At 36.9% G+C, this 23580-nt stretch overlaps 1 long non-coding RNA gene across 1 annotated transcript in view, besides 2 other annotated features; it reads right to left on the bottom strand.

Annotated features, from left to right (window-relative positions):
* LOC124904475 (uncharacterized) overlaps positions 1–23580 on the bottom strand; it is a 765263-nt gene that overhangs the window by 297676 nt on the left and 444007 nt on the right. The window contains exon 5 of the long non-coding RNA XR_007066777.1: positions 22505–22585. This is a non-coding gene — a long non-coding RNA (uncharacterized LOC124904475). The remainder of the gene's footprint in view (positions 1–22504; positions 22586–23580) is intronic.
* Positions 13924–14093: an enhancer, noted in NCBI's record as "experimental_1475 CRE fragment used in MPRA reporter constructs". NCBI's record gives its function as "activates a minimal promoter by MPRAs in K562 erythroleukemia cells, with activity observed for the introgressed 1:193876994 or rs12128445 variant allele {active_cell/tissue: K562}" and the evidence as "EXISTENCE:reporter gene assay evidence [ECO:0000049][PMID:34662402]".
* Position 14008: a transcriptional cis regulatory region, noted in NCBI's record as "Neanderthal adaptively introgressed variant 1:193876994 (GRCh37/hg19 assembly coordinates) or rs12128445 in the experimental_1475 CRE". NCBI's record gives its function as "modulates activity of the experimental_1475 enhancer by MPRAs in K562 erythroleukemia cells {active_cell/tissue: K562}" and the evidence as "EXISTENCE:reporter gene assay evidence [ECO:0000049][PMID:34662402]".

Genomic DNA, 23580 nt, shown 5'->3' with positions numbered 1-23580 from the left:
CACCTCCCACCAGTCTTACCTCCAACAGCGGGAATTACAGTTGAACATGAGACTTGGGCAAGGACAAATATACAAACTATATCACATACTATTGCCTCTTTCCTTGCTACTTGTCCTGCAGACTACTGTTAACTGTTACACAAACCTTGTAGCCTACTGAGGTGCAGAAAGGTGAGTGTTCTCTCTTTTTCTAATTCAACCTCAGTCCCAGGACTGTGTCCACGGATCTTAGGAATGGGGCTGCTCAGTGGTCCTGCCTTACCTAGAGCTGTAGGTTTAGATCCAGCACAATTTCCTGCCACTGTTCTTGCAGTAGAGGATTTTTTTAGCCTTCCCTTTACCTAGCTGAAAATGGTTTTCAGGGGTGCCCTAAGGACAATAATGTTGACCCTTCCCTCAGGAGTTTCAGTGTTTTCTTCTTTCAGAGAGATAGGTAGAAAGGATCTAGGTGAGATTTCCTACCTTTATTATAGTGGCTGTTTTTTCAACCCCCTAGTCTGTACCATGAAGGAAACTTTTTCAGAAATTTTTCCAATCTTTTTTGTAAGGCCTGAGAAAAAGAACCTCTGACTGCATGCAAATTCCCCTTGTGTCTTGACCTCAGGGCTTTTATATTCTCTTCTTAGCCTCCATTCAGCTTTTAATATTTGTTAAAAGGTTTAGCTGAATTTTTCTTACTAGTGTCCAACAGCATCTTCCCCAGTTAAACAAGTGGTTGCTTCCCTTTTCTTCTTAGAAATGATTGTCTTTTCTTAGATTCCACATCAATTAGTTGTCCTATGATCTCAGTTCTCTAATAGGCTCAAGAAAAATTATAAATCTTGAGAACGTCAGATATTTTTTCTTGTTGTTTTAACATCGTGATATGTTTCAGCCTTCGGCATCCCACAGGGAAGCCAGAAGTCCAGTACATTTTTTGTTCATTGTAGCCATAATATACTTTCTAAAATATGTCTAATTTCTCTTCTTGATTAAAGCCCTCCTAAGATTTCTCATTGCCTTTAGGATTAGAAGGACACTTATTAATGTGACACATATTACTCCATAGCCTCATCTATTACTAATTATCCTTTTGTGTACTATGGTCCAGCCTATTAACTTACTAATTTATTCTCTCTGTCTCTCAAATTATCCATTCATTCCTATATCTGGTCTTTTGCATTTATTGTTCCATCTGCTTCAGAACTGCCCTACTGTTACCAAGAGTCCCTTCTCTGGATAATTATCAGGTAATGGACGTTTTCAATGTTTGTGTGGAGTATGACATGCATTGCTTTAATCTTAAAACTCAGATCACTCCAGGAAAATTTCTCCCACCACCCCAACCTGTTATGTCCTAACTGTGCTCATGCTGTTTGTGCTATTCTCTTTTCCCCCTACTTTTCTCTTGTAAGTTTCAAATTAGTCTTTGCTTGGCTATTTGTCTTCATTTTATACACCAGAAATTATGTCTTCTTTTCTTTTTATTGTTCATGGAAAAACTATGTAAAATATTCTAAAGAGGTTTATTCTGAGCCAATCTGAGTGATCACAGCCTGCAGAAAAGACAAACTCAAAAAGCCTGTGTAAGTGGTCCCAAGTTGGTCAGGTTACAGTTTGGTTTTTTATATATTTCAGGGAGGCAGAAGTTACAGGTAAAGACATAAATCAATACATGGAGGTTAGACATTGGTTTGGCTTGAAAAGGTGACATATCTTGAACCAGGGCTTACAGATTTTGGGTGGATTCAGAGATTATTTCATTTGTAATTGGTTAAAGGAATAAGGCTCTGTCTAAAACTTGGAGTCAGCAGAAAGGAATGTTTAAGTTGAGATAAGAATGTTATGTCAGATTCAGCCACAATATACTGGGTCAAAATGACCTATTTAGCAAGACTGATGTCCTACAAGTGTGACTTACCCCTGCCTTGCATGGCCTTAAGTTTTGTTTATAATATGATACCTTATTGCCACAAAGAGTCTGTTTTGTCAGTCTTTTATCTACATTTTAACCTTAATTGTGGTCAGTTGTGTCTAAACTCCGAAAGAGAGATGGTATAACAAAACGTGTCTGACCTCCCTTCCCATCGTAGCCAGGAACTCAGCATTTAAGGTTTCTCTGGGATCTCATGGGTCAAGAGGGGGTCCATTCAGTTAGTGGAGGGCTTAGTATTTTCTTTTTAATTTATGCTATGTTTGTTGATGACTTTCTGTGGGATTTTATTTTAGAGATAAACAAGGATATATATATATATATAAAATAACTGATATATACATATATATTTATGTTACTTAGTATCCTTCAGTATTATAATATTATGGAACTATAAATATACACTATTTACTATATATGTACAACCTTAGTTTAGATGACATTAAACTAGAGATAATGCCTTAAAATATATGTCACAAGTGAGAGGTGACAGCGTGCTGGCAGTCCTCAGAGCCCTCGCTTGCTCTTGGCACCTCCCCTGCCTGGGCTCCCACTTTGGTGGCATTTGAGGAGCCCTTCATCCCCCCCCACTGCACTGTGGGAGCCCCTTTCTGGGCTGGCCAAGGCCGGAACCCACTCCCTCAGCTTGAAGGGAGGTGTGGAGGGAGAGGCGCGAGCGGGAACCGGGGCTGCGTGCGGCGCTTGCGGGCCAGCTGGAGTTCCGGGTGGCCGTGGGCTTGGTGGGCCCCGCACTCGGAGCAGCCAGCCAGCCCTGCTGGCCCCGGGCAATGAGGGGCTTAGCACCCAGGCCAGTGGCTGCGGAGGGTGTACTGGGTCCCCCAGCAGTGCCAGCCCACCAGCGCTGCGCTCAATTTCTCTCCGGGCCTTAGCTGCCTTCCCGCGGGGCAGGGCTCAGGACCTGCAGCCCGCTATGCCTGAGCCTCCCACCCACTCCATGGGCTCCTGTGAGGACCGAGCCTCCCCGATGAGCACCACCCCCTGCTCCGCGGTGTCCACTCCCATCGACCACCCAAGGGCTGAGGAATGCGAGCGTACGGCGCAGGACTGGCAGGCAGTTCCACCTGCAGCGCTGGTGCGGGATCCACTAGGTGAAGCCAGCTGGGCTCCTGAGTCTGGTGGGGACGTGGAGAGTCTTTATATCTAGCTCAGGGATTGTAAATACACCAATCAGCACCCTGTGTTTAGCTCAAGGTTTGTGAGTGCACCAATCGACACTCTGTATCTAGCTGCTCTGGTGGGGACGTGGAGAACCTTTATGTCTAGCTCAGGGATTGTAAATACACCAATCGGCACTCTGTATCTAGCCCAAGGTTTGTAAACACACCAATCAGCACCCTGTGTTTAGCTCAAGGTTTGTGAATGCACCAATCAACACTCTGTATCTAGCTGCTCTGGTGGGGCCTTGGAGAACCTGTGTGTGGAAACTCTGTATCTAACTAATCTGATGGGGACGTGGAGAACCTTTGTATCTAGCTCAGGGATTGTAAACGCACCAATCAGTGCCCTGACAAAACAGGCCACTCGGCTCTACCAGTCAGCAGGATGTGGGTGGGGCCAGATAAGAGAATAAAAGCAGGCTGCCGAGCCAGCATTGGCAACCTGCTCGGGTCCCCTTCCACACTGTGGAAGCTTTGTTCTTTCACTCTTTGCAATAAATCTTGCTACTGCTCACTCTTTGGGTCCACGCTGCTTTTATGAGCTGTAACACTCACCGCAAAGATCTGCAGCTTCACTCCTGAGCCCAGCAAGACCACTAACCCACCAGAAGGAAGAAACTCCGAACACATCTGAACATCAGTAGGGACAGACTCCAGATGCGCCACCTTAAGAGCTGTAACACTCACCGCGAGGGTCCGCGGCTTCGTTCTTGAAGTCAGTGAGACCAAGAACCCACCAATTCCAGACACACGAGGATTAAGCCAAAAGAATTTCAAACCCAAATTGCTAATATCCTAGAATATATTGTACTAGTATTCTGTGATTCACAGAGATAATGACCATGTTCAGTGTGTCTTTCAGGCTTTAACTTCTTATAAGAGGTGTCCAAATGATGGACAATATGTAACGTGTAACACCTATTTGAACAAAATACATTTAAATAACTGGTTTCACTTAGATGAATTTTAAAGCCTTTGAATATATTGTATACTTTCTATATATATATAAAATGCTCATCTATAGACAGAGTCATGTATCTCTTAGATTTCTTGAAACTCTTGAAATCTAAAAATCATTTATAAATCTTAGGACTATTAGCTTGGCCTTGAGCCAAATAAGATATTTGTTCCAAGGTAAAGAGAAAATGCTTTTCTCTGCCTTTCACTTAGTTTAAATTTTCAATTAGGTTTCAATATATTTTTAGTCTGCCTTCCATTAACACAAGTCAAAAGAAACACATTTGCACTTCTCACAATTCTCTTCTCGAGTATCTTTGGGAAGGTGATAAACAGTTCACAAAATTGCACAGGATTAACCCAGGTATACAGATGCAGCTTGCAAGAGATGTCAGCAAGGTAGGCCCTACAAGCAATGGACCAGAATATGAAATTCCTTATGTATAAACTGTGACATAAGAGAACCTATTTAAACACATAGAGCTTCATTTTCTTCACTTATTAAATGGGCATAATAGTAGCCATATCAAAATATTTTTATTGTTTTTAAAAGTCACCCATTGTTAAACCCTTAAGATGGTGCTTAATGTAAATATGCAATAGATTTTACCTGCTACTGTTATTATCAGCCACTTTCATTATTTCATGAAACATATGGCTTTATCAAAGTAAGGACATAACATGTATTACAAATGAATATTCTCTTTAAAGCAGGGAAGCCTATGTTTATATTGTTCATAAACATACTTGTTACTTGTTCTATATTTTCTTCCCTAGAAAGAAATTCTATGTGCATTGTTCAAGAAAAATTGTACCAGATAAATGTAAACAGGGAAGAAAGGCTTTATTCAAGACTATTGCAGTTGGGATCAAGACTACTGCAATAGGAGAGCGAGATTATCAACTCTATTGAGACAAAAGATAAGCAAGTTTTTAACTTCTGGGATGAACTATTGGAAAAGCACCGAAGGATATTAGTGGGGAGTTGGTCAAAGTGATGATGCTATCTACATGTGCTAAATTGATGCTTACCAAAATCAGAATTCTGCCCTTCCACAGAGACTGGGAGAAAGGGGCCCTACATTTCTTGATTATTACATTTAAAAGGGATCGTTCTAAGGTCCTTGGGAAAGACATTCCTAGGTTGTAAAATTGGGAAGACATTTGGAGAAAATTTACATGTAAAAGGGGTAGGGAAAGTATTAACAATAGAAAACTTTCTGAATGAAATGCTCTAAGAAAAGAGTGGTCAGGGACTTATAGTTGGAAAGAAAACATTCTAAAATTTAGTCAGTCTGAGGGAACATTAAGAATGTCTTGGTCTGTATAAAATCTAATGGTCCACTTCAAAAATTCCACTATTCAAAATATTATATCTTTGCTTATTAAAAGTACATTTAGGGCCCTGAGATGGGAACTGTAATAATTGGCTATTGCTGTGTAACCAACCACCTCCAAGCTCAGTGCCTTAAAACAACAATTTATTCTTGCTCAAGTTCAGCTGATCTAGACTGGGCTGAAGCTATGAGTTGCACTGGGGATTAGGCCCAGGCTGAAGGGGCAGGAACTTTCTTCCAAAGATCGTCCACATGGTATTGGTGGAGGTGTGAAGATGAGCCCCCTGTGCAGACACAATTCAAGTCTCTTCTTCTCTTGCCTCCTAATTTCCCTTTGAAGAAATCAAGTCATGTGCTGATGTTCAAGTCTAGGATACCAGAAGTATACTCTGTTCTGACCACAGTAGGGTGAGAGTGTGGAGGGAAGTAGGAGTGAGTGTTTTCTAGATAGTAATCTAAAGTATCCAAATAGGTTTCTTTCTAAGTTTCAACATTATATGTCTGGCCAGAGACATTCAGAATCTGTAACTGAATGGTGGTTATGAATATATAATGATGGTTTCCCATATTTTTAAGTCAACAGACATTCATTTTTTAAAAATTTCCTAAATATTTATTAATCTCTTAGCACATAGCAGATACTGCTTTAGTTGCTGAGCATATAAGGGTGATCAAAACCAGAGATGGTCTATGCTATCACAGAGAATCTAAAAACTAACAAAGAGTTATGCAAAAATATATAAAATTTTTACTGTGAGCTATATGACAGAGAAACACCTGGTTCCATAATCCAGGAATTTAACTTACTCAGAGATATAAAGAGAATCTTTCCTGAGTCTGTGATGACTTAACTGAGATCTCAAGAAAAAGTAGTACACAGGGTGATAGGAAGATCGTTGCATAGAGTTGAAGAAAAAGAAGTGCTCCAGACAAAAGAAAGTACATGAAAAGCCCAAGTGTAGCACTTTATAGGCAATGAAAGAAGTACAGTAAAATTGGAGAACAGAAAGCATGTGGGAGCATAATTCTACTTTAGACCAGCCCTGTCTAATAAAAATACCATGCCAGAAATTCACATCATTTTAAATTTTCCATTAGCTAGATTAAAATGTAAAAAGAAACAGGTTAAATTAATTTTAAGAATTTATTTTATTTAACCCAATATTTGTACAATATTACCATTTTGGCATATAGTCAGTATAAAAATATTAATAGGATATTTTATATGCTTCTTTTTTCATACAGAGTTTCTGAAATACACACATAGCAAATCTCAATTTGGACTAGTCCCAATTCTATTACCACATATGCCTACTAGCCACCATATCACACAGGGCAGGTCTACACATGAATTATCTTTTAGACAATTTTAAGGTTAGTGACCTTTGTCCTAGTAACAGTGACATGACATTTGATATTTTAAGCATGGGCTGTGCGGGGAATGGGGATGGTGGTCAGATGACTAGATTTGTATTACGAACATAACCGTGGCTACCATGGGAATAGAGAGAACTAAACAGATTTGAAAGATACATGGGTGGTAAAATTGAGCTTTAATGGATTAAATATTGAGGGGGGTGGGCATTCAGCACAGATACCTTTTAATTTCCTGAGCTATTTAACAAAAACCTTAGGAGCCTGTCCATCACAGAAGAGGATGAAAATATGTTCAATTTGAGACAAGCTGAGTTTGGATTACTTTTTAATCACTTAGAAGGAGAGAAGAATTAATGGCTGACTATACCAATTTGAGACTTAGAGGATAATACTGGGGTAGAGATGTAAGTTTATGTCATTTCTCAATGATGGGTAAAGCCATAGGCATTCATAAAGTAGCCAATGGTAAAAAGGATAAAATAAGAAGTGAAGAAATAAAAGTTGACTTTCAAAAGAGTTTGTGTCTTGTATTGCTTTCTTAGTTTTCAAATGCTTAATTGGAAGCATTCTCTTGAATTAGCATTCTCATTAAATCTCCTAGGATGGAAGCACATAATGCCAACATGGAGGAAAGAATGAAGGACACTAGAATGCCATTCTGTTTCCTTACTTAATGGGGAAATACTGAACGTACAGCATATGGCTGCATCCTCTGCTTCATTCAAGAGTGATTGCTTGAAAATCGTCACAAAAGATTCTGAAACAAACACACAATAAATCTTATAGCCAAGCACTTTTTGCAGGCCATGTTAGGGAAAAAAGCAAACATAAAAGGATTCAATATAATAGAATTAAGAAAGAAAAACATACTTTAATAAAAAGTAAACAGTAAATTAAAACATTATTAATATTTAAGTGTGAATGGGGGATGTTTATGTTTTTTATGTTTTTGGCAAAGTACAACAGGTGAGTGAAACTCAGGCAGCTTAATTTTCATAAATTTCCTCAAATATGATTCATTTATTCTTTTAAAATTATGAATTTCAATATACTCTAAAACTTACAGAAATCTGAAGGAGATGATAAAGGACAGGACTAATGTCCAGACCACCTATGATTCCTTTCCCTACCTTCAAGATTCCATCCTCATAGGATCCTTTGGGGGAATATTAGACAATGCTATTTAACCTAAACTTAATTTTGGTGTCTTAACCAACACTGTGTACCCTTTGCTCTGGCCATGGATCTTTTTTTTTATTATCAGATGTCCTTCAGGAAAAGTGACAGAATACCTAACGTAAGCCAGCATATCAATAAATGAAATATAGTATTTCACATGATTGAAAAGTCCCATTACAGAGCTAGCTTTACACAAAGCTTTATTAGCAGCTCAACAGTTGTCATCAGGGCATCCAATTTTTCTTGGATTCTTTTCCTAGTACCCCTATTTTTAGGTCTGCTCTCTGCAAATGGGTGAGAGATTGTTGCAGAGAATTCATATCATTTCAGCTTTATTTCTACAAGAAGTTATGTCTTTCCCAAGAAATAACCAGAGAAACATGGTAGGATTGCTTGTCAGTATGGAAGGTCCATTGGCATTCTGAAATTTACAGAGAAACTGTTAAGACCCATGTTATTATTATTCTCCACCTCATACAATCTTATCCCTACACACTTACCAATGCTGTAAGTAAGATATATAAGATGGCATGACTTTATGACCTGTGTTGTGGATGTAGTTTAGCTTCTTATTAGAATATCTTCATTTGATTCCTTTAGCATGGTATAGAGTAGAATAATTAATATCTTATTGTTATAGGTCTAGCATTGTGATATATGTGAGACATAGACAGAATTTAATCAAACTATTACTCAGATTAGCAAGGAAAATGTAGCAGCTATATTTTTCCATAACTGATCTGATCAGTTATAATCTGATCATCCTTTTTCTCATAATTATTTCCCTTTGGAAGAGAAGAAACTTAAACTTGCCAATTACTAGTATCTCAGCATCTGCACATTTAAAAATTCTATGTTCTAAGTCAGTCTACTCGAAGTTCATCGAATTCTCAGTGCTATTTTAAGTGGCTTGTTTTTTTAAAGTCTTCTTTTCATAAATAACTTTTTTTTCAACTTGCTTTCCTTCTCCCTCACCTTCTCAGACATGGCATCTGAATGTATGCCAGAAGGGTCACTTACATGACCTTGAGTAATGGGAAAAAGTGAGTCTTGAATTTTTGAATTATTGTGTGTCTTCTGGAATCCCAATGGCTGTTGTTAAATTGGTTGCCCTTGTCTAGTTCCAGAAATGGTGACAGTTAATGTACTGTGGTCACACAGTAGGTCATTCACTAGAATGAAGACCACTCTAGTCAAGCCCATAATGGCTGGCATTTGCCTTTAGTCACAAAGTCAAGCAAGGCAGCCTCTTCATACGGACTCCAGCACTGCAGTAGCTGGTCACTGGTGCATGGAGAAATTCTGCCCCTCCTGTCTGACATATGCAGGTCACAGGAAAACCATCTCAGTCTCATCAGTTTCATCTACCTAGACACCACTGCTATATTACCAAACTCAAGATGACAACGGGCATGTTTATGGACTTGTCCTAGTGTATTATATAGGGTACAGTCATCATCCTTTTCTTTCCAATTTTCCCTCAAGCTATGTAATATCTTCACCTTCCATCCCTCATCCAAAGAGGTTTGGCTTAAAGATATATCATGTGGGTCACTTTATCGGCTCCTGCTTCCCTTCAACATTGCTACATTACCCTTGCCTGAATCCACCTGGCTGGAACGAAAAAAGCTCTCAACATATTGTGTCTCTCTAGCAAGGATTTCCATCATATCATATCCACCTTTTTCTTAGGTCATGTTCAGACTTAAGGGTGGTAGGGTCAAACTTTCCATACTGAAAGAAAGCTTATGATCACTCCATCTAGCTCCCTTTAATCAAAAGAGGAAGAAATCCTTTCTTTTTTTCCCCCAAGAAATATATTTCATACACACACACACAAACACACACACACATATATATCTCGCATGCATATACATACATATTCTCATTTAATATTCCTTACTTCCTTTAGGATTACTATTCTAATTTTATACATATGAAGCAGAGTGTTTAATCTTTCCCAAGTTCCCTCACAGTTGACATAAAGCCGGAGTTCTGAAATTCAGCCCAAAGCTATTAATTTCAAAGTTGATACTCTGCTCACTTTAAATTGCAGACTCCTTCAAAGAAACTCCCCAATTTATCCAGTGACTGACTCTTTCTCCAACACCTTTTGGAAGAATAGTTTGAAGATGCCCTAACTAAGAATGAGATTTCGCTCAAGGCACAGAGACGTGGTCGTGTGTAACATCTGCCTTCTTGAGTAAATTTCAATGGGAGGATGCTCGCTTTGTCTTACTCAGAGAGACATGGGCACTTAATAATGACCTACCCTGCATCACCAGGTAATGTGCTCTTCCAATTGTGTGTAGAATTTTGCTCACACTACCTCATATTTAAACTTGTTTCCCTCTAAAGCCAGTGTTTTTCAAATTGCCTATAATTCTCAAACAACCTTCATGATTTTTGCCATGTCCTAGTCTGACTTTATTAGTATTTAATTAATGTTTGTATTTAATTAAAATTTTATATTTGAACAAATTTATTTTTAAGACAAGCTAAATATTACTATTACAAAGGGAAAACTGGTAGCATTTAAATAGAAGATAGCCATTAATATAAATATACTGAAAAGAAAGTAATGTTATTGCATTTCAAAAAAATAAAAATGAAACCCAAGTAATAAAGCAATTTCTTAAAAGAAAAGATTTCCAATAAGAAGAATGCAACTGATATAACCAGCAATGAATTTATATTTGTTTGAATATTCTTACTTTTACTAAACATATGGAAGTTAGTTCCATATTATTAAGATTATTTTATTTTTAAATTTTGATCTAAACCAACAGTCTAACCTTAAAGAATTACTGGATTTGAGCCACAAATCTGATCTTCCCACAGTTGTTTCTCATACTCCTATTGCCCCCACTTAGCAAATCACTAAAGTCTTTCCAACTCTGTACTAGAGCCTCTTGAGTGTCTGAGTTCATGGTCAAGTGAGACTCTCTCTTCTTCTAATGGGAATGCCTTTCACTGGCCAGGTCATACAAACACACTACAAGATGCCACCTGAGCAGGGCCTCTATTTGGCTGCCTCGCTCCACTCCATTACTACATGCTGCAGCAAGGTGAGGTATGGAGAAGAGATTCTTGGTTAGACAAGAAACACAGCCCTGATTTAGACTAGGGGATGGTATATGTAAGTATAGATTCATAGTGCCTGAGTCTTGGGATCACCCAGGGCACTTTGCTCTCATCTTGTCAGAGTGTGGAACCAGAAGGAGACTTTGTGTAAGCATTGGGAATTCCAGCACAACCAAATATATTGGTTCCAACACCTAACACTCTGGCTCTCTCCTCATAAGACCAAATCCTGTGATCTCTGCAGTAGGACAAGATCACAAGGTTGGATCCATAGGAACGCACTGTGCAAAGATAAAGCCCAGAGGCACTGAACTTCCCTTCTTCTATGAGTTGTTTCCTACACTTATTTTGTAGCAGAAAAGAGGGAATGTGTTGGAATAGAGAATTGCTCCAGTGTACCTCTTTAATACCTTTTTCCTGTGGAACAGAGTTGGTGGGGGTTCAAAAATGGTAGAAGAATATATCTGATCTCAACACTTGTTTTACAAAAAAAAAAAAAAAAAAAGTGGTAAGCTATTGTATGTCCCTCAATTCAGCCCTCAGACAAATGAAAAAATGTTGCCTAACATGTATCTAAAACCTATAGCCATAGTCTTTGATGTTGCCTCTTCAGTTCTACTGTCCATAGACATCCTTGTCTCCACTAAAATAGTGGTCTTCTCCTAGCATAACATGGTAGCTACCTCTACACACTCTGGTAGAGCCTTCACTCCAATTCAGTCTCCAAGATCTCAGTATCTGTGGATTTTCTGTGAGCTCTCTCTCAATCACCCACCAATGATCCCTCCACCAATGATCCTTCTGTATGTTCACCATAAATATCCTGTTATATTATTTCCAAACTAAAATAAATATACTATTAAAATTAGAATGTTTGTCATACCACACAAAATTATTTTGTCTATTAGCAGTGCTCTGTGCATATCCCAGCTGAAGCTCTCTGACTAAGGCTGTGCGCTTATGCACAATTAGTGCTTTTCTTCTGGAGATATGTGCATCTGTATGGCAGAGCGGGGGCAGACATGCTTGTGGACCTGTGTGTTTGTATAACTAAATTGTTTCCACCTAAATTCAGAAAGAATGTTTTCTCTCTACGTCACAGTTTAATATCATAGATGCTGAAGGGAACCAGAGTTGGCATAACGAAGCCCACTTTGGAACGTTCTTTTGGTCAGGGAGTGCTGGAATGGGTGGAGAATGGCATGGGACATCAAAGTGTAGCTGTCGATTGCTCAAGTCTGACTCATACTTCCCATCCACAAAGGATGAACCAGGTCCTGGAATAAGTAGAAGGTAGTTGTTGGAATGACAAGAGAGTTTCCATAGGGGTCCTGACAACCTGACGTTTCAGTTTAGGGTGCTATATAGCTTCTTTGGCTATTTTTATTTTCAGAAATAATTAATGATGTATGTTCTAAGTCAAATGTGGTAGCTCTTTATGTGTAATTTGACTTTCTTCCTTGTGTCTAAGTTGATATAGTCTATTTGGTCATTATATCTTTGTAAACAAAGGAATAGATCTGTGTGAATACAGTTACATTTACTTGAGGCTAACTTCCAGTATAAGATTGAGAATTTATAAGACAAATCCTTCAAAACCATTCAATATTGTCAGACATTTTACTAATTGGCTGAATTCTTAGAAGCAGAGTGATTCGAGATACATTCAAGATTCACATCATAAGAAAACAATAACAAGTAAATTGTTGATGAATTTTTTAATAAACTTTTGATTCACTATTTAGAATACATTTATTTCTACCAGACCTCAGTGGGAAATTAACCCAATATATCATTTTAATGAATTTATGACTATAATCGTATATATGCTCTTTACGAACTATAAATTCAATATATATAATGCAATATAAATGTAATATGAAAATTCAATTTTCAGTATAAGTTTATTTGGTTTGTGCAATAACTACTAAATTCTAGAGATATCACAGAATAAACTGTTCCACTAGGCATTTTATTTTTCTTATCTTTCAGTCACTGGAGTTTAAATGAGTAGCAAGTAAATTGCAAATAATTATTTTTCAATAGCTTTTGGGTACAAGTGTTTTTGGTTACGTGAATGAATCATATAGTGCTGAAGTCTGACATTTTTTAGCATTTAAAACATTAAATTTACCTGATTAACATAAAGATTTGGCATTAAACAAAGACCCTTATAAATAATCCCACTATTTTATTAGCAGTACATAAAAATGTGCATCAAGACATCTTGATGTCAGGTGCAGTGGCTCAAGTCTGTAATCCCAGCACTTTGGGAGGCCGAGGCGGGCAGATCACAAGTTCGAGACCAGCCTGGCCAACATGGTGAAACCCCATCTCTACAGAAAATACAAAAATTAGCTGTGTGTGGTGGTGGGCACCTGTAATCCCAGCTACTTGGGAGGCTGAGGCAGGAGAATCGCTTGAACCCAGAAGGCAGAGGTTGCAGTGAGCCGAGACCGCGCCATTGCACTCAAGCCTAGGTGACAGAATGAGAGACTCTGTCTCAAAAGACAAACAAACAAACAAAAAAAAAAAACAAAAAACAACCCACAGATATCTATACAGACAAAGACAATGCATGTTTCCCTTTATGATCTATCCTTACCCTCTCTTATAACCATAGGATTTTCTGAGCAACATAATCTGTTCAGCTAACCACTCTTCTACCAACAACAGGACTCTTGTGTCACAACACATCAAAAACAAAAACAAAAGACCTGGCAATGACACCAAGAATGCAACACCAAGCAACTTGTCAACTGAATCCCAAAAGATGGCAGGTAGGACTGTGGACTAAGATGAGATCTTGCTCTGAGCAGAGGTAGGATATATGAACTCTTTTACTATTTTGCTTTTGGCATGGTCAAAGAGGAAGAAGCAGCCTCCATGAAAACAGGAAAGAAGAAAAATATTAATTTTTAAATAATTTACAAATGTCAAGTATAGGCTAGATTGAGTTTAGATTCTTGGAGCCCAGATACATGAGTTGTCTGCGCTCATTCCCTAGCCCCCCTTAGCACTTCACTAGTGCTCATGAGAAAGATATCAGGCACGACAGGGGACTTTGGCATGCCCCCATACCTCCATGGCACAAAACCACATAATCCCCAACATTTCATGGATCCTTCTTGAATATAAGCGAAAGCCATAAGCCACTAGTGGAAAGGTAGGAAAACCTATGTACTGTGGTCCCAGAGAATAATCTGCTGCCCTTTGTAGAGGACTAGAGTCAATAGGTTTCTGATGCTGGGTGGGGCAGAGGATCCAGGCAAAAGACCACTGCTGCTGGGAGAAGGGTAGAAACAAAGTTATTATCTGCCCCAGACAGGGAGAAAATATTTGCAAAGCACATATCTGATCACATATCTGATCAAAAGGACCTTTCCAAGCATATAAAGAACTCTTACCATTAAATTCAATACTAAAAGTCCATCAACCCAATTTTAAAAATGGTCAAAAAGATTTGGGAAGTTTCTTCATCAGAGATACATAAATGGCAAATAAACACACGTGAAGAGATGTTCATCATCATTAATTACTTAAAAATATGCAATGAGATAACTGTACACCTATTAGAATGGATAATTTTTAGAACTTAACAAATACCAAGATGAGTATTTGAGAGTGGAGATTCATAGATTACTGGTAGGAATTCAAAATGGCACAACCGTCTTCAAGTTTCTTATAAATTTAAACATATTGTTTCCATAGAATATGAAATTTCATCCCTACATATTTTTCTAAGAGAAATAAACCCTTGTGTACACACACAAAGACCTGTATAGCAATGCTTATAGCAAATATATTTATAATTGCCCAACACTGGAAGTAATCCATAGGTCTGTCAACTGGTAAATGGATAAATAAATTATGCTATGGCCATGCAATGAAATACTAATTCAGCAATAAAAAGGAAATAAACAACCGATATATTCAAATATACGGATGAATATCACAAAGTCTTATGTTAGTGGAAAAAAACAGAAGCAAAGTGCCACCTACCTTGTAATTCCATTTATAAGATCATGAAAAGACAAAACTAAAGAAACAGATCTGTAGGGGCTGGGTATAAAGGGACAGTGTGACTGTAAAGTGGTACAAAGGAACTTTTTGGGGTTGGTGAGGCATTCTCTACTTTGAGATAGTAATTATATTACTATAGGCATTTGTCAGACTTCAATGAACTGTACATTTTTAAAGGGTAAAAATTTTATTTATGTAAATTATACTTCATAAAACTGAAATTAATAAAGAAACATATGGGAGTAGAGGAGAAAACAGTATTTCAGACATTGGGGAAAAAAGCAAACAAAAATCTAGAAGTGTGGGAGCAAGGCATGTTATGGTGCTCCAGCTAACCAGTGTGGCTGGAAAATGGAATGTGAAGGTAGGAATATTAAGAAAAAACTTGAAAATGTGAGAAGACAAGCAACGAAGGACCTCAGATGCCACATTAAGGAACTCGGACTTGTATTTATGACAATGAAATTTTAAGTGAAGAAAAGATATGAGATCACCTAAATTTTAGAATAGTCACAGATTGAAGCATGGAGAACAGATTTAGGGAATCAATACTGGAGTCAGAAAGACTAGTGTAATAAAGTATCTGATTCCATATTTTGTGTTTGGCCACTCACAACTTTTAAGTCCCACCCTTCCATCATCTCCTTTTCCCTAACATCCAGGCAAGCTGAAAAGAAGGCCCACATTCATTCTCTTGGTGTCAGCAAGGAACTCAAATCATGCAAGTACATGACAACATAACACAGTTTCCTTCTCTGTTTTCTCAAGTCATTTTTATACCCACTTGGAAAGCTGCCCTGACCTCCTTAGAAGGCCTCATTATTTAACTCTTTTCATATCCTCTTGGTGCATGTATGGTATCATTAGTCTGCATTCAAACCAAATTTTAAATGGGTGTTTGATGCTGCCCTCCGTGAGGTGACCACAACAACTAGTTAAGCAACTGCTGGTGTCCATGACTGAATATGATGAAAGAGGGCAGGGTGAGTAGAGGACAGAGTCCAGAGTTGTTAGCAAAGAAGAACAAAACATATCCCCTCAGGGGATATAATAAAGAGAACTTCCAAGAATGTGTTGGGCTGACATCCCCGGGTAGATCAAGATTTTATTTTCAGATATAAGGAACAAAGAAGGAGAAGCATAGGGTCAGGCATTTTGAGCTTAAGGAGCCTAGAGGATATCTAAGGGGAAATATAGAGAAGGCAATTTTATATAAAGGTCTGTAACCTGTAATAAGTCTGAATCCTGCAGCAGCTGCTCCCTGCCTTCCTGCCTCTCAAATCCAATCCTGGCCATCCTGCTTCTCAGTCATCTCCTCCCCATGCTGGCTTTGTTTCAGTTCCTCGAGGTGGTTTTGCATGCTATGCCCGCTGGAATGTTCATCTTCAAGACTCTATGTCTCATATTTCATATCAGTTTAAATACCATCTCCCAAGGAAACCTTCTCTTATAAACTCGTTTTTCTTTCTCATCATTTTTTTTGTTTGGCTTTAAATTATTTACCATAATTTCAAATTGCTTTATTTTATTTAAGCTTCATAAATTCAAAAACTGTCAAATTTTGCTGTTGTAGCTGTAGTCTCAGTGTGGATACAATGCCTACGGTTAACCAGTAGGTTTTTGTTGTTGTTGCTGTTGTTGTTGCTGCTGTTGTTTATTTTTTGAGATGGAGTCTCCCTCTGTCGCCCAGGATGGAGTGCAGTGGTGCGATCTCGGCTCACTGCAACCTCTGTCTCCTGGGTTCAAGGGATTCTCCTGCTTCAGCCTCCCGAGTAGCTAGGATTACAGGCGTGTGCCACCACACCCAGCTAATTTTTATATTTTTAGCAGAGCCGGGGTTTCGCCATGTTGTCCAGACTGCTCTCAAACTCTTGATCTCAGGTGATCCACCCACCTCGGCCTCCCAAAGTGCTGGGTTTACAGGCATGAGCCACCGTGCCTGGCGTAGTCTTTTAATAAATATTTTGATTGACTTAAGATGTGACACGGAGTCGGGCGCAGTGGCTCACGCCTGTAACCCCAGCACTTTGGGAGGCCGAGGCGGGTGGATCACGAGGTCAGGAGATGAAAAACCATTCTGGCTAACACAGTGAAATGCCGTCTCTACTAAAAATACAAGAAAACTAGCCAGGCGTGGTGGCGGGCGCCTGTAGTCCCAGCTACTCGGGAGGCTGAGGCAGGAGAATGGTGTGAACCCGGGAGGCGGAGCTTGCAGTGAGCCGAGATTGCGCCACTGCGCTGCAGCCTGGGCAACAGAGCGAGACTCAGTCTCAAAAAAAAATAAAAATAAAAATAAAAACTAAATAAAAATAAAAAAGAAGATTTGACACGGTGCCTACACTATACTAGGAATGTAATAAATATTTCTTTAATCTAATTTAAATTTTAAAAACAAAACTGATTATTTTTTAAAATAGGCCCATTGTGATATTCTAAAGTGTTTATATATCACAGTTATATACAGAAAATCAACAATTTGGTTATCTTTTAATAAATGGTGATTCCTGGTCTCACTAATATTGAATGGTGTCTCTTAAAGAAATCAGTGTCAAGTCTCTTTAAATTTCAACTCCAAATCCTTGGGATGTAACTCTCAGCCCAGAGCTATATATAAACCTCTTAAAATCAGCCACTTGCAACATTCTGAGACAAAAACTGACTTGGGAAGAATAATTCACACTTCTGACCTAGCAACAAGATAAATCTGCTTTCCTAAAAACAATCAGTTTGGCCATAAACTGGTCATTTTTTGTGGGTGCCTTTACTTTATGCCAATAGATCATTGTCTAAAATCTCGACATATGCTGTTTTTCAAATAATAAAAGTGCATTAATTATTTTGTGATGCGTTATAACATTTTCTGCTATCTTTTTTTATGACACAAATCTAATTAGTACATATTCTTGAGACATCTAAAGTAAGAAACTTTATTAAACATTTTCAAACTTCTTCCTGAGCTAGTAGAAGAGCAAGCCAAATGAATTTCAAGTGACATTAAAAATAATCACAGCAAAAGGCTTGAGAAAAGGAATGACATAGTCAGCTTTAAATATGTATATTCCTATCACATGCTAATCATACTTGCAAAAATTGTAGAATTGCTTATTTGGTATCATTACTTGCTTGAACTACTTACTACATTCTTGAAGGTAATTAGTCCTCAGTAACCACACTTCCATGTATTCTTCTTTAAATAGAATACCTTTGTATCTAAAGTTAGATATAGAGAAGTTACCTTCTTTAAATAGATGCCTTTATATCTAGAGTTAGAACTTAAAGAGAAATATCTCCATAACAGCCAAAAAACCCAGATGTAGCGTATTACTGTACTCTACTATGTTCATATTTTTTTATTTTTCAACACGTAACCTAACAGGAAAGAACATGTAAATAAATAATCACTAAAACAAAATCATGTTAGATTTTCATGGCTCAAAAAATGGTTAAGAGATTTGAAACAACAACAGGTCTTTGTCATTTAAGAATACTTGGTGTCTCTGAAGGTTCATAGCAACAGTTTGTTTGTCTGCCTATCAGTATCAGTTTACATGCTCAAGTGATACTGAATTTTCTCTATTTATCTAGTCACGCTTCTCCCCACTTAGATGCTATTTTCAATCATCTTAATTCTGATATAATTCATCATATATGATAAATTGTAAGTTCCATACTGAACATTAACCTGTAATCCTACATTCCCTACACACAAAGAAATATCTTGCAGAAGCTATTGCAGAACCTTTAAATTAAAAGGAAAGTTAAAAGTTAACAAAATTTGAAAGAATATGTTGAAAGGTTAGAAAGGATCTAGGAGTTGTGAAAGAAAAGAATAGGTGAACAACAATGAATATTTAACTAACATTTCTCTTCAACAAATATAATTATCATTTGCCTTCAACAAATGTAACTGGGTCTGAGCAAACTTATAGATTTACAATGAATTCCTTAAAAGTTAGTGTAAAAGCAGAAACCAGAGCTGTCGCTCCCATTCTTTCAGAATGTTTTGATGAATCAGAAGTTTTTCTTAAAAATGCCTCAAAGAGTCAAAAGATCTTAACTATATTGATTATTTCATTTTTCACTATCTCTTTAAATTTTAAAAGAACATAAAAGTAAAAAGGAGAAGCCAAGGATTAAATAAAATACTTGACTATTTATTCAGAAATACTTCTTATTACTCTATTTTATTTTCCATCTTAATTCTGATTTATATGCTTTTACCACTGTCCAATAACTAATAAATAAGTTAATGAGATATTTAAAAGGTAATATGTTTTCTTACACTTTTTTCTTTTGATTCATTTACTATTTCTTGTAGTTACAGTCTTGTTTTATTAAGCACTTTGAGTCTACATATCATTTTAATGGAGGTATCAGGTGGGATGTCCTTCTCATTTACCCTACAATGAATACCCAGACATTCATCCATCCTACTCAGTCCTAGGCAGATATGTGAATTAATTCCTTGTCACCCACAATATTCCATCTTCATTGTTTTTCTTCCTCAACCCCCAAATCATTCACATAGTTTCCCCCAATAGCATCCATTTTCACAGGAGAATCAGTGGCCTCCTGCATCACATCATCATCTCTTAGGTGTCTAATATATTCATGAAAGTGTAGGTAAAAATGCCTAATAGAGTAAATGTGCTTGTTTTCACCAGTGATATCCACACAGGAAGAAGAAGAAAGATTTTAACCAAGAAAATAAATACGCATTTAAATTTAATTTTTAGAAATCAGTGAACCAAGTAGCAGATGGATGTGTTTTAGATATGCAATAGGATGAGGGGAGAAGACGTGAACATGTAAGTCCAGTATGTATGATGGTCCTCAAAATATTCATACTATTCTGTCCCTAATTAATATGCCTACAGGACAAACGCCTTCTTTGATTTTGTTTGTTATTTGATTTTTCTGTATAACCAACAGAGTAAGCAATGACTCACATTATCATCCCCATTTCAGAGTATTCTATATACTAGTCAAGCTCTGAGCCAGTTAGCATTGCCTTGTTTTAATGTTGTTCTTCCCTTAAAAAACAAAATCAATCTCATCAGGACTAATATATTTCAATAACACAGATCGATAAAGATTTATCCCCAATATAATGGCCAATACAATTGCACATCTTTAAAATGCTTCTCTCACTATAAAGTTTTAATTTATGTGGTATGATATAAACATTTGTATCCGGTTATTTACAACCAGTGTAAAACAAAACATTTTAAAAATTAAAATTTGCAATGGACCATCAACTTTCAATGCTCTGAAATACCCAACTGATAGCCCAATCTAATCAATATCCATGAGCACACCAAGCCTCCTTTATCACCTATGTTACATACCACCATGTGTAAAGATAATTCTTTTGTTATCCATTAAAAGTTTCAACAAGTCTCTGGAAAAAGATTAAACTCCCATCAATAATGAAAAACTCAGTGTCAATATCTACAGATTTAAAAAAAAAACATTTTTAACATGATGCCAATTCAGCATTGCTAACTTTAGGCATGTTTTTATTAACAGTACATTTTTCCATATTGTTTCCCATAAGTAATTTTATTTTTAAGTACTTTATAATCAAGTGAAATATTACGCATTTTTCCGGATGTTATTAATTACTAGCTGGATGGCATTAGCTCTTCGAAAACTCTGGGACATCTTTTGTGAAATTACCATCACAATGCATCATTCACATCTTAGTAACATGAGAATATTAATGTGTTTCTGAATGCCTCTTACCTGAGAAACCAATTATTCAGAAATACAAGCTACAAACTTAAACACATGACATCGGTACCATCAAACGCGTTTTTTTCTGGGAAAAAAATCCATGCCATTCAGATCAAAGCTGGTTTTAAATGTAAAATCTTGAGAAATAAAGAGTAATCACTAGCATGCTTTCCAAATATTACCTCAACTAGCATAAAATACACTGTGATTTTTGAAAATATATGACCTCTAAGTATTACTGGAAACTAAAATCTTTTCACATTCTATTTTCTACTTTTTATAATTTATTACACAGCATATTCGTAAGTTACAGAAACATTTTTGCAAAGTTAAATCTTAGAATTTAGGAAAAGCTCTTGTCAAATTATCATGGAATACCATAATGCACTGGTGAGCACAGAAGTCTATTACCATACATTTATTTTATTATTATGATTTCATAGCAATGATGAGTGCAAATATTATTAATGGAGGTTTCACATCATATCATCTCTTTTAAGGACACTGTTAGTGGGAAATGAATTCAGTCCTTTGCTGAGACTATATGAACCAACAAGATTTAAAAACCATTTCTCTTAACCATTTTAAAATAAAATTGGTCTAAATGAAAATAATTAGATAATATATTTTTAATTTTTAAGAAATATAATATTGAGAATTGAAAATTTTATTACTAGATGTTTCTAAACTGAAAACTAAATAGATTTAGTAATGTCCAAAGCTATCACTCCTTCCACATCTTAGAGATGACTTGACATATATCCAGTTCATAATGTAATCAATGTATAGAGGCTACCTGTCATTCAAGCTGAAAACATCCAGACAGTTACTATTTTTGACCCTTAAATAAATGTAGAAACAAAAGTATACATCACCGCTATATGGCCATCCACATATTTAATGGCAGTCATAGCCTAAGTAAGCATGCAGAGAAAAACCTTCAGATAGAGCATGAATTAAAAATGAGACATTCACATCTACTTCTGAATTTTCCTCTTATTAGCATGGAAGTCATGGGCAATACCTACTTTTTAGGGCTATTATAACTATAAAATGAAATAATGTGAAAGCACTAAAGAAACGTTAGAAATGCAGACAATATGAGGCATTACTATTTATATTCTGTGATTAAAATATGTCAAATGAACAAAGTAACTGCATTTCTGCACTTTAGAACAGAAACCTGTTTGTCAGAATTTATGCAAAAATAAAACACATTCATTCATCCACATTTCTATCATCTTCCCCATCTTCCAATTAAGAGAATTTGCTGTAATCACATTTTTACACTCTTTCTGATTATTGATTAGTGTTCATATTTGCAAACAACAGAATCCAACTGGGCTAATTAAGCAGAAACCTGTCTATGAAAACATATCAAGTAGCTTTCAGAATCTCTGAAAGGGCCAGAAAATTGAACTTGGATACTAACAGCCATAAATACTGACTAGCCTTGTGTCCAAGCACAATTCAGAACACCACTGTTCTACCCCTGCTGCTCTGGACATATAACATTTGGGACTGGGTAACAGAAATTTACCAAAGCTTTCCCACAAAAATAGAATGTCATGGCCATCATGCTTCCAAAAGGTCACATTTCCACTTATATGACACAGTCATGTTACTTTTCCTCAATGCACACTAAGCAAGTCAATTCCCAGTATCTGTTACACTATGTAGGAGAACAAACTGATTCTTTCTTTTGGCATTCATTTACTTACTTCTATGTGCCAAATACAGTTGTAGGCATCGGTGAAAACATTTGAATAGCACAAGATCCAGGCCCATGATAAGCTTCCAGCCTGAAAAAGACAATATGTGGCAATTAATGGCTAAAAAATAACTTTACATGTGGGTAAAACACAAAAGATAGAAAATACCAGAAAAATACAAACATGCCTATTGGCCCTCCTGCTCAGTATCCATAGGCTAGGTGATATGGTTTGGCTCTGTGTCCCCACACAAATCTCATCTTGTAGCTCCCATAATTTCACATGTTGTGGGAGAGTGCAGGTAGGAGCTAATTGAATCATGGGGGCAGGTCTTCCCCATGTTGTTCTCATGATAGTGAATAAGTCTCACTAGATCTGATGGTTTTAAAAATGTGAGTTTCCCTGCACTAGCTCTCTCTCTTTGCCTGCTGCCATCCATGTAAGATGTGACTTGCTTCTCCTTGCCATCCACCATGATTGTGGGGCCTCCCCAGTCACATGGAACTGTAAGTCCATTAAAGTTCTTTCTTTTGTAAATTGCCCAATCTCAGGTATGTCTTTATAAGCAGCATGAAAATGGAATAATACCTTCCACATTTGCAGATTCAATCTATTTCTCATAAAAAATATTTGGAAAAAAATTAAAAATACAACCATAAAAAATAATACAAATAAATAATACAGTATATAAAATATTTACATGGCATTTAAATTGTATGAGGTATTATAAGTAATTTAGAAATGATTTAAAAGATATGGAGGATATGCTTATGTTATCCTATGCAAATACTGTCATTTTATATAAAGGACCTGAGCATCCATGGATTTTGGTATTCACAGGGAATGTCCTGGAATCAATCGCCCATGGATATGGAGGGATGACAGGGAGTGGGGGAATATGTAAACACACATCTGGACCACTTAGTACCTCATTTGCTAAAATTATTGAATATATTTTTTAAAAAACAGGCAGGCATCCTTTTAACATTAACAGTAACCTATTTTAATCACAGACATTTTATAATTGTGTGCCATATAGTAGATACTTAGAGTATCTGAAGAAATTTAATTAGAAATGTAATTAA

Source organism: Homo sapiens, chromosome 1 (genome assembly GCF_000001405.40).
Source record: "Homo sapiens chromosome 1, GRCh38.p14 Primary Assembly".
Classification (NCBI taxonomy): Eukaryota; Metazoa; Chordata; class Mammalia; order Primates; family Hominidae; genus Homo; species Homo sapiens.
The sequence above is the reverse complement of the archived record's forward strand: the minus strand, read 5'-3'. Positions and strand labels throughout refer to the sequence as shown.